The sequence below is a fragment of the Homo sapiens genome, chromosome 5 (assembly GCF_000001405.40).
Source record: "Homo sapiens chromosome 5, GRCh38.p14 Primary Assembly".
In the NCBI taxonomy this organism is placed as follows: Eukaryota; Metazoa; Chordata; class Mammalia; order Primates; family Hominidae; genus Homo; species Homo sapiens.
The window spans coordinates 90,927,355-90,939,770 of NC_000005.10; the positions used below are offsets into that span (position 1 = coordinate 90,927,355).

Sequence of the window (12,416 nt, forward strand, 5' to 3'; positions counted from 1 at the left end):
TTGTTGTTGAATTGATCCCTTTACCATTATGTAATGGCATTCTTTGTCTCTTTTGATCTTTGTTGGTTTAAAGTCTGTTTTATCAGAGACTAGTATTGCAACCCCTGCCTTTTTTTGTTGTCCATTTGCTTAGTAGATCTTCCTCCATCCTTTTATTTTGAGCCTATATGTGTCTCTGCACGTGAGATGCGTTTCCTGAATACAGCACACTGATGGGTCCTGACTCTATCCAATTTGCCAGTCTGTGCCTTTTAATTGGAGCATTTAGTCCATTTACATTTAAAGTTAATGTTGTTATGTGTGAATTTGATCCTGTCATTATGATGTTAGGGGTGATTTTGCTCGTTAGTTGATGCAGTTTCTTCCTAGTCTTGATGGTCTTTACATTTTGGCTTGATTTTGCAGTGGCTGGTACTGGTTGTTCCTTTCCATGTTTAGCGCTTCCTTCAGGAGCTCTTTTAGGGCAGGCCTGGTGGTGATAAAATCTCTCAGCATTTGCTTTTCTGTAAAGTATTTTATTTCTCCTTCACTTATGAAGCGTAGTTTGGCTGGATATGAAATTCTGGGTTGAAAATTCTTTTCTTTAAGAATGTTGAATATTGGCCCCCACTCTCTCCTGGCTTGTAGGGTTTCTGCCAGGAGATCTGCTGTTAGTCTGATGGGCTTCCCTTTGAGGGTAACCCGACCTTTCTCTCTGGCTGCCCTTAACATTTTTTCCTTCATTTCAACTTTGGTGAATCTGATAATTATGTGTCTTGAAGTTGCTCTTCTCGAGGAGTATCTTTGTGGCATTCTCTGTATTTCCTGAATCTGAACGTTGGCCTGCCTTGCTAGATTGGGGAAGTTCTCCTGGATAATATCCTGCAGAGTGTTTTCCACCTTGGTTCCATTCTCCCCATCACTTTCAGGTACACCAATCAGACGTAGATTTGGTCTTTTCACATAGTCTCATATTTCTTGGAGGCTTTGCTCGTTTCTTTTTATTCTTTTTTCTCTAAACTTTCCTTCTCACTTCATTTCATTCATTTCATCTTCCATTGCTGATACCCTTTCTTCCAGTTGATCGCATCGGCTCCTGAGGCTTCTGCATTCTTCACGTAGTTCTCGAGCCTTGGTTTTCAGCTCCATCAGCTCCTTTAAGCAGTTCCCTGTATTGCTTATTCTAGTTATACATTCTTCTAAATTTTTTTCAAAGTTTTCAACTTCTTTGCCTTTGGTTTGAATGTCCTCCCGTAGCTCAGAGTAATTTGATCGTCTGAAGCCTTCTTCTCTCAGCTCGTGAAAGTCATTCTCCATCCAGCTTTGTTCCGTTGCTGGTGAGGAACTGCGTTCCTTTGGAGGAGGAGAGGCGCTCTGCTTTTTAGAGTTTCCCGTTTTTCTGTTCTGTTTTTTCCCCATCTTTGTGTTTTTATCTACTTTTGGTCTTTGATAATAGTGATGTACAGATGGGTTTTTGGTGTGGATGTCCTTTCTGTTTGTTAGTTTTCCTTCTAACAGACAGGACCCTCAGCTGCAGGTCTGTTGGAATAGCCTGCCGTGTGAGGTGTCAGTGTGCCCCTGCTGGGGGGTGCCTCCCAGTTAGGCTGCTCGGGGGTCAGGGGTCAGGGACCCACTTGAGGAGGCAGTCTGCCCGTTCTCAGATCTCCAGCTGCGTGCTGGGAGAACCACTGCTCTCTTCAAAGCTGTCAGACAGGGACATTTAAGTCTGCAGAGGTTACTGCTGTCTTTTTGTTTGTCTGTGCCCTGCCCCCAGAGGTGGAGCCTACAGAGGCAGGCAGGCCTCCTTGAGCTGTGGTGGGCTCCACCCAGTTTGAGCTTCCAGGCTGCTTTGTTTACCTCAGCAAGCCTGGGCAATGGCGGGCGCCCCTCCCCCAGCCTCGCTGCCGCCTTGCAGGTTGATCTCAGACTGCTGTGCTAGCAATCAGCGAGACTCCATGGGTGTAGGACCCTCCGAGCCAGGTGCGGGATATAATCTTGTGGTGCGTCGTGTTTTAAGCCGGTCGGAAAAGCGCAGTATTCGGGTGGGAGTGGCCCGATTTTCCAGGTGCGTCCGTCACCCCTTTCTTTGACTTGGAAAGGGAACTCCCTGACCCCTTGCGCTTCCCAAGTGAGGCAATGCCTCGCCCTGCTTCGGCTCGCGCACGGTGCGCGCACCCACTGACCTGCGCCCACTGTCTGGCACTCCCTAGTGAGATGAACCCGGTACCTCAGATGGAAATGCAGAAATCACCTGGCTTCTGCGTCACTCAGGCTGGGAGCTGTAGACCGGAGCTGTTCCTATTCGGCCATATTGGCTCCTCCCCCCAGGTTATTTGTTCTAAGTGCTGACAACATCTCAGATTAAAAGTTGTTTTCAGTGCTATTCTTTTTATGTTACTATTAATGATTAGGCACATTTTCTTTAAATAGCTTTTGATCATATTAGTTGGTACAGTATGGATTATACTGCATTGACTACCTTTAAGTTGTTGACTAATATGTAGATATGTTTCTTTTTTTCTGTACAACGTTAAGGAAAGTAAATGACTGTATCCTACAGAAACATTAAGAAATCATTTTTAAGAAAAGTTTCCATTTCTGCTTGTATTTTAGTTTAGTTTTTTATCCATATTCTGTTTTATAGCAGATGAATTTTAAAAGGCCAGTCTATATTTAAAATAGGCATTAATTTTAGCCATGGGTGTTGGCTTTCCATTTTAATGGCCTGACCACTAAACATCTTCTTTTTGTTGTTTCTTTTTAAAAAATATATGATTTGTCTAGCAAATCTTTGGTAAAAAAAATACATTTCTTAACAGTACTATTTTAAGGACAGATTATGCTGTGATTTTGCTGCAACAGCCTCCTGAGTGATAGAGTCAGATGTTCTACTTTCTTATTAGAAACATCGATGCCAATATTTACTTTCAGTCCTGGTCTAACAAAATGAATACGTTGCCAGAGGCATATCATGAGTCCTTCCGGCAAACTCCAAATAAGAAACAAACAGAAATAGTGAATGAGAATGCCAACTTAAAAAAAATACGTATTTTTATTATAGACTTAATTGGCCAAGAACATTCCTACATAATCTAAAATTCATAACGACCAAATGGTAATACTTTTATTGCCTGGGTGGTTTTGTACATGGACTTTTATAACTTGGTATTCAATGTATGAATTCTTGTCAATGAAACAGTATCATTTTGTGTCTGAGTATTTATGTGTCTTTTTTAACCAAAGAAAAAAGGACCAAATATTAGTGTTAGCCAAAATTTTAATTTTTAAATACTAGAGAGTTATTTCTAAATTTACGTGAGTCCAAATTTTCAAGCAGAAACTATAATCCTCCTTTGCTTACCTGATAATTTTTACTGCCCTAATCAACTTGGTCTTGCACTACTGTAAATAACTTACATGAGGAAATATTGTGGTTTCATGTTCGGTAACAATAATTTTACCTAGGTTTTAATGAAATATCTCTCACAATATGAGAGCCTGCATAATATAGAATATCCAATTCATTAAACACTTGCAGAGGGTCCCCTCTGGGCCATCTGGGATTACTACTGCCTAACTTTGAAGGAGAAACCTAACCAGAATATTTTAGTATGTTGCATCAGTGATAAGAAAACTTCTGAACTTGTGCCATGAGACCTCAGAGAAGGGGCCACTTTGTTCATCCCAAGGTGACTCGGAATAGATGACACCAAAGCTGAAAGATTTGTAGATTTTTTTATAGGTGAAGAGAGAGAGGAGGGAGAAGGAGGTACTTGCTGGAAGTGTGTCCTGGCAAAGCAAGCAGCACTGGTAAAAGCAGGCAGATCCGACAGAATGTCGTGTATGGATGGAGAAAGAGAATGAAACAGCAGTTTAAGATGACTGGTGGGTAATGCAAATTTGAGAAGTCATGGGGGATGAGGCTGGACTGGTAAACAAGAGCTAAGTCATCAAGGGCCAGATATCAAACAAGTTTATACAGTGAAGATTTAGGGCAAAGGGGTGATGTGGAAGGGATGAGTTTTCCAAAAAGTTAGTCACTTATCCAAGAATGTATCCAGCTCACTTAATGAAGCTAGCTCACTTATGGAGCTAGATACATTCAAATAGTTTCTATAAATCAAATTCCTTTTCTTAGTTCAGTTCTCCTAGTGATGCCCAAATTGACAAATTTCACTAGGTAAAATGTTTGCTTTTCTTGAAGTAATATAATTCTACCTGGAAGTCAGCATATTTTTAAAAATCACAAATTGTAAGAAAAAAATCATTTTGCTTATGTGCCAAATTTTATATGTGATTATGTTGAAGTATGGAAAACAGCATAATTCAACAAACATTTTATTAAAATTGACAACACAATTTCTTAAAAGAAATATTTTAATAATGGTTAATTCCTACTTGTTAGTCTATAATTACGCATGTTTCCTAATTGATGAAAAGAAATGAAATCACTCTTTCTGGACAGGCATATACTTGAAAATCCTTTACCGTATATTGGCTTAGAGAAAAATTGATGTTCCTTGCTGCTTAAATAAATTTAAGCCCCTAAAATCTGAAAACTTAATTGAATATTTAGTGGACATAAAATGAATGGTCCATAAGAGCAGAGGCACAAAGTTGAAACAGCAAAGATAAGCATGAGGGACTCTAGCTTTAGATTTTTACTTTACTCACTTTGTTTTATTTTCCTTCTCCACATAAATTGTTATAAATTTTCCACTTGCTAGAAGGGATTTCTCAAGCATTGCAGGGCAGCTTAGTTTATTTTCTTCGTGGGTAAATCTGTATGTAATCATTTTAGCAGGTGAGAGAATTCAAGGAAGTGGTAACTTGCCAGGAAATGAGTTCTCAGGGCTGTGAATGTTTTTTCATTAGTGGTATGATTTCCCAAATATCCCATTTCATTTTCGTGTAAAAGGTACTTTTCCATCTCATCACGTCTACATTGAGTTAGTTTGCCCACTAGGAGGCACTCTTTCCAAGCTCTGTTTCCCAGGGTGTCCCGCTGACTTTCCCCAATAAAAACCTGTGGGTATTTACTCATCTTTTGTGTTTTTGTTACTAAGCTAAGTTTTGTACCTTGCTTCTGTTTGCTAGTGGAAATGGCCTTTTTTGTTGTTGTTTAAAACAAACCAACAAAAACAACTTCCAAATGTTTTGGTTGGTACTTGTTTTTCAAGGTACTAGTTTGTGGAGAGATGCTTAACTTACTAGAAAAACACAATGTGTTTGATATCAAGTGTTCACTAAAAGTTCTACTATTACCTTTAAAATAGTAATATTCTCCCTGATATTTATTTTCAAATGTAAAAACATATAGATCTCTAAGTATAGCTCAGTTGTGAACAATTGAAAACATTAAGTCACCATAGAATGCATCGCTGCAAAAGACAAACAGTGATTTGTGTCAGAAAAAGCTTTCAGATTAAAAAAAATCAGAGAATATAGGCTTGTCGTGAGTTGTGTGTGTGTGTGTGTATACATACACATAGTATACACACATACATATATGTATACATGTAAAAACACACAGCAACAAGACTGTATAAAAAGGACACTTGCTCAGTGGCATGTGAAAGTCACTCTCATCACACATTGTGCTGGTCACATATTGATATGCAGGCCCCACGTATATAATTATACGTATAAAATTAGAGTTATTAGTGATCCCGGAATAATCACTCTCTGAAGACTTTTAATGAACTTCAAATTGAAAGTGGTTGGTTTACTTAAAAAGCATGATTTCTCAAATTTTTTAATCTCAGAGCTTGAGACCTGGTCCCATCAATTCATTCACTTATTGAGTGTCTGCTCTGTGTCGGGCCTTGTTCTATATTTTGTTTACGGCAATGAACATACAAACAAAATTTACTCATGGTGTTTATGTTTGGTGGTAGTGGTGGCAAGGCAGGGGTGCACACCAGAGTAGGATTAATTGCAATGACAAAGGGTAATGTTGTAAAAGGATTAAGAGTGTTAGAAGCAGAACTATTTTATATAGGGATGCCAAGGAAAATGTATCTGAGAAGATACTATTTGAGCAGAGATCTGAGGGAAATGAGGAAGAAAGCTATGCATGTAGCTGGGGGATACATTCCAGATAAAAGGGCAAAGCAAATATAGTCCTGAGGTTTATTTTAAGGGCAGTAAGTGAGTCTGGTTCTGGAATGTGAGGGGGAGTGGTGGGAGATGAAGTTAGTGAGATGTGCCAGGACCTAGTAGAATTTTTCTCCAAATGAGATAGAAAGTCACTGGCAGGGTTTGTGCAGAAGAGTTGGTTGATGAGACTAACTTTTCAGAGAATCTCTCTAACTTTTGAGTTGATTTGGTATTCAAAAACCCTCACTATTAGGCCTCTACTTGGTTCTCCCGGGAAGTTCTCTGCCCTCCAATCCTTCTGTTTTTTGTTTAGGTTCCTTCTGCCTGGAATGCCCATTTTCTTGTAGCAGGTGTGAATCTCAGTCCACACACAGAGATATGTGAGGAATATAACTATTTGTTCACAGCTGAATTGAGCCCTATTCTGCTAGGTGGTATGAACAATCTGTCAATTCTGGTCTCCTTTGGCCTTATTCTGTGGCTGCACGTAGGCCTTTGGGGACTCTTGTAACATTGAGCCATCTAGGGAGGTAGGCAAGGGGCCTGTCGCAGGCACAGCTGCCTAGACACAGACTGTAGCCTTTCTACTCCAGAAACTATTTCAGAAAAGTAGCCATGGGTTCTTACTGACCTCAGATCCCTAAACCTCTGCAGGGGTTTTGTCTGTTCTTCTTGCTGGAAGTTGGCATAGTCTCACCTCATTTTTTCACTCTCTTTGCTTCCTCTTCATCTCTCCCCTTCCGACCCTACAGGTCTCTAGATCTGTTCTGGCCTAGCATGGGAAGTCTTGCCCTTGCTCAGTATTCTTCCAGGCCTTTGATCTCTTCCTTATCTTCATTCTGCTTATAATTGATGTCTTCCCTGGGCGGTGAATGCTGCTCAATCTTGCTATTGCTTGAAGGGGTGGAGACTACAACAGATGAAAAGGAAAACCAGAGGGAAAAAAACCTTGGTTATTTCGGAACATTATTCTGCCACTTACCCTTCTAAGTCTAATAAAATCCTGCTTTTCAGGCCCATCTTGTTTATCAGCTCCTTTTAGCAACCTGCCCACAGCTACTGATCTCTCTCATGGTAGGAGATAAGCACTTCCTCTCGTGTGTTCCCTGGGCGTTTTGTTTGTGTCCTCCATCCTGAACCTTGTCCATGGGTATCATGTCACCTTTTGAATTGTTGTTCCAGACTTTCAATTGTTGGGTCCTTGAGATCACAGGGACCACTGCTTCTTCAGAGGTGTTTTGTTTTTGTCTCAGCTAGGGCTGCCATAACAAAATACAACAGACTGTGTGACTTAAACAACAGAAATTTATTTCTCGCAGTTCCGGAGGCTGGCAAGTAAGAGCAGGGCACTTACAAAGTAGATTTTATTCTGAGGCCTCTTCTCTTGGCTTTTAGGTGGCCTCTAGCTCACTGTGTGCTCACATGACCTCTTCTGTCTGTGTACTTGGAGAAGGAAAGAGAGCAAATTCTCTGGTGTGTCTTACAAGGGCACTAATCCCATGATGAGGGCCCCACCTTCATAACTTCATCCAACCTCATCTAAACCTAATTACCTCCTAGAAGCCCCATCTCTAGTTACCATCACAGTGGGGGTCAAGGTTTCATATATGAATTTTGGAATGACACAAATGTTCAATCCATAACAGTTTTGTTTTGTTTTCCTTTGTTTTCATCTCTGGCATTTATGATGGTGCCAGTTATAATGGAGAACAGTAAATGCTTAATCAGTGAAAGTATTAAGCATATTCACCTAGACAAGAAATCCTTCCTATTCCTGTCAATAAGGTTCAAGGCTCTCCAATGAGAAATTAGATTGTTCAGCTCTAATGTTTGTCAAAACAGAAGTTAATACTTTCACATACTCCATAGTTTTGCTTTTAAGCCTTTTTGATGTCATAAGAAATATAGAAAATTATATTTGTTAACAATGAGGCTGCTAATGGCCAGGGGTGAGTACTAGAGCTTTGCATCTCTCTGCTACATTCAGTTCCAGCTTCCGCACCTCCTAGACCCTGACTGGTATCAGCTGGCAGAGGGGAATAGTTGTAACCTATTTGATCATGTTTTGCTTTCTAATATAGAGAATAGAGATTGATTATGCTTTTAAAAATTATGGAAAACCATAGTTATTCAACAGAAAAAAACCTGTAAAAAATGTGGCATGTGACTTTCTAATACTGCTTTTGTTGTTGTTGCTATTTAGTTCTTAAGTCTGTGGGCCCCACAAAATTTATGCCCTTACACCTATACACATAACTCTGGTATGTGTTCAGCACAATTAGGAAGGACAGATGTGTGTCCGAATGTCATATGACTCGAGGCAGTGTTTCTTAGAATGTGGTTTGAAGGCCACCTTGATTGTGGTAACCTGGATTGCTTGTTACAAATGAAGTTTTTCCAGCCCAGGCAGTGACACACACCTGTTGTCCCAGCTACCCAGGAGGCTAAGGCAGGAGGATTACCTGAGCCTGGGAGTTGAAGGCTGTAGTGTGTTGTGATGGTGCTTGTGAATAATCACTGCACTACAGCCTGAGCAACATAGCGACCACCCCATCTCTAAACAAAACAACAAAAAAATGCTTTTCAAGAGTTTTAGAATAAGACTCTTCCATGATGAGGCCTGAAAATCTGCATTTGTAATAAGTTACCAGGATGCTTTTTATGTACCCTAGACTTTATGAATCATTGCTCTATGTGGTGCAGAAAGACAGTAGCAATGTTCTGCAGTATTCTTCCAATCTTCTTGATTTCTTCTGGGCCAAGACATTTTGGATTATGGATCCAATTTAGTTATTACTGGATCATTCTGTTTTTTTATTTTCTGTATATTTCTAACATTAATTATGGTGTTCTCCTCTCTCACACACACACATACATGCACATACACACATTCTAGCTGTATCTAAAAATATATCTATCTATTACTTTCAAATTTGTAAATATATTTTTGCATCTCTTTAGGATTTTTAAAAAATGACATCAATTGAATCTATAAAAATCTTCCACTTTTTAAAATGCGTGCCTTTTTTCTTAAGCTTTGTTCAAGTTTTATCTATTTTATTGATATTTTCAAAAACCAAGCTTATGGTTTTGTTGACTATCTCTACTTTTATTCTAATTAATATTTTATCTTCTTATTATTTATTTTCTTCTACCTAATATGTTTATATTTTTATCTTTACTTGGCTTTTAAATTAAATTATCTTATTTTAGTTTTGTTTTGTAGATACAATTAAGTCTAAATTTACCTTTAAGTATCACCGTAGCTGCTTTCCAACAAATTTTAGCATATAGTGCTTTTCACTGTCATTTAGTCCTAAACAGTTAATAATTTCTATTTTAATTCCTTGAATTAATTTAGAAGTGCATTTAAAATTTCTTAAACATATGGTTTTTTTGCTACTTTTTAATTATTGATTTCTAATTTAATAATATTGGATAAAAAATGTAATATGTCTAAAATGTCTTTATTTTGCCTGCAATCTTGCATAATATAATAGGTTGACAGGGTATAAAATTCTAGGTTAATACTTATACTTCCTTAACACCTTGAAAATATCATTTCATTGTTTCTTACCATCTGTTGTAACCAGTAAGAAGTTTATTGTCAGTCCATTATTCTAATGTAGATAATTTGTATTTTCTCCTTCTACTAGACTTTAAGATTCTCCAGTTTCATTACAATATATATTCATCTAGGTTTAACCTTATATATTTGATCCTTATTTTTTCTACTTAGTACTTTGTACTTTCAACCTAATGACTTATGTATTTCTTTAATTCTGGAAAATTCTCAGCAATACTTTTCATATACTTTTACTATTTCCTTCATTCGCTTTTTCTGGAAGATTTGTTGGAGGTCTTTTCTGTAGCATGAATATTACATCATAATTTTAAGCCTTATCTTTCTGTGCTGCATTCTGGGTAAGTTCCTTAGTTTTTGTTACCCCTTCATTAATTCACCCTTTGATCCCAGTTTAAAGTTATCCCATTTATTGTATCTTTTAATTGCAGTAACTGTATTTTTTTTTTTTTTTTTTTTTGAGACGGAGTCTAGCTCTGTCGCCCAGGCTGGAGTGCAGTGGCGTGATCGCGGCTCACTGCAAGCTCCGCCTCCCGGGTTCACGCCGTTCTCCTGCCTCAGCCTCCCAAGTAGCTGGGACTACAGGCACCCACCACCACGCCCAGCTAATTTTTTGTATTTTTAGTAGAGACGGGGTTTCACCGTGTTAGCCAGGTTGGTCTCGATCTTCTGACCCCATGATCCGCCCGCCTTGGCCTCCCAAAGTGGCGGGATTACAGGCGTGAGCCACAGCGCCCGGCCAGTGATTGTATTTTTTTCAGTTTTAAGCTTTGTGTTTTTCATCTTTACCTATTCTTATTTCACTTCTGACTGTGTATATTTTATGAATTCATTGTTTTTATTGACGGTTTTGTCTTTATTAATTTCTGGTCATTGTTAGCATATTCTTTTAATACCTTTGTCAGATTGTTTCATAAAGTTAATTTTATCTAAAGTGCATTTATGTTCAAATTGTTGATTTTATTAATTGCCTTTTATTTGTACCTGCCCAGTGTCTTGATTTTTGTTCCGTTTCTGGTTCACAAAAAATGTTTGCTTGTATTTGTCCTTGGCATCATTTTTACTCCCCAACCTTATTTTTTTAATCCATCATTGGTATGTATTTAGAGTGGACTTTCCTGCTTGAACTCATTGTGCATCTTGAACTGAGAGTCCCAAACAGCCTGGTTGAGTAAGAGGGGAAAATAAAAAAAAAATTTTTTGGAGTTGTCTGTCATTCAATAGTTTTTAATGTCAATTAGGACAAAAGCAACCTTTTCTTTCCTTACATCCATGTTGGTACTCATGGCTCTGAAAAGTTTACTTTGAATTAACTTGAAGCTATTCTTATTTAGATTGGCTTAATCTTAGAACTGTTTGGCTGTTACTTATAATTTACTTCCTAATGCAATATACTACCATAAACATTGAAAAGTATGGTTTTTTGGAGGGAAAAGATAACAGTGAGACTGGCGATGTTTGAGTGCCAAAAGATATTACTTAAAGACTTCCCCAGTGAATACTTGTATGAAAGCTTTCTGTGATCTAGTCTGGATATGATGGTGCTCCCTCAGCCAGAACCTCTGCTTAATTCCCCTCTCCCTTTCACTCAACACATATTTTATTGAGCACCTATTATATGCCAGGCACTGCTCTATGCACTGGATATATGACAGCAGACAGATCATATAAAATCTCTACCCTCTTGGAACCTACATTCCAGCTTATTGTTAATAATAGCTTTGCTCAGAGAGGGTTTTTATTAATCACTGAAACACTGAAGAAAGTATAATTCTAGGATTGTTTATTTTACAAAGTATTGGTAGGAAAAGTAAAGTGATGATTCTAGGATCTGCTTTTGTTATCTTTCAACCCAGGAAGTATATCTAGGGGAAGCCACTTTTATTCTTATTACATTTCTAGAAACCTGCCACAAGAAATCCTAACCACATACATATATACTTGTGTTTCTCTATTTTCGATAGTAAATCTATGCTGGTGGAAGACTATCAGTTATTCTAATGTTATTGTTATGGATTTAAGATAAAATAAGCACAGGAGAAGACTGATAATCTGTTTTATTTGTCTATCAATCAAAGGTGCCAGTTTTAGAAAACATGTTCACTTCTTCCAGCTTTGAAAACAAAGTTAAACTAAAGCAATGAAAGGGAAGCACATTGTCAGTTTAAACCTCAAAGTTACATTTTAAAACATAATCAAAGAAGGGGCCCATATTTAATTAGATACAAGATACAGATTAGAGTTTCTCTCATTAATTAGGTAGCTGTGTGAGAAATCACTCTTAAAAGCAGTTTTAGGGTATTAGTTTTCACTGACTTACACATTTTGTTCTGATCTGCTGCTGTGATTAATGAATTTTTGAGCAATGACGATTAGGTTAATTTGAGTTCATTATTCAAATACCAGCGCCTAACAGATGGAACACTAAACTGAAGGTCAGGAAATGTGAATTCCACTCTAGGCTCACAGCTGACTTTCCATGCAATTTGAATTTCTTCTGCTTTGTGAAGATATTTGTGGATTAATGTTACTGTAAATAAAATGCTCTAAATGACAAGGATATAAAGTACTATGAAAGCAAATGGGAAAAAATGATAACTTAGGATAAAGAGTCTCTCTTCATCTGGGAATAATATTTAGAATTCATAAACAACCTTTTAGGGGAAAATTTAGATGCTGTACAGGTGGCAGAATTGCTTTTTTTTACTTGACTTTAAAATAATAATACCTGATACTTGAATAGTGATTTCCAGGT

The 12,416-nt window shown here is 37.9% G+C and overlaps 1 protein-coding gene across 12 annotated transcripts in view, besides 1 other annotated feature; it reads left to right on the top strand.

Moving 5' to 3' along the window:
• Nucleotides 1-12,416, top strand: part of ADGRV1 (adhesion G protein-coupled receptor V1) — a 605,641-nt gene that overhangs the window by 368,558 nt on the left and 224,667 nt on the right. The window lies entirely within an intron of this gene.
• Nucleotides 2,082-2,634: an enhancer, noted in NCBI's record as "NANOG-H3K27ac-H3K4me1 hESC enhancer chr5:90225253-90225805 (GRCh37/hg19 assembly coordinates)". NCBI's record gives its function as "activates a minimal SCP1, AML or CMV promoter by ChIP-STARR-seq in primed H9 embryonic stem cells {active_cell/tissue: H9 hESC(primed)}" and the evidence as "EXISTENCE:reporter gene assay evidence [ECO:0000049][PMID:30033119]".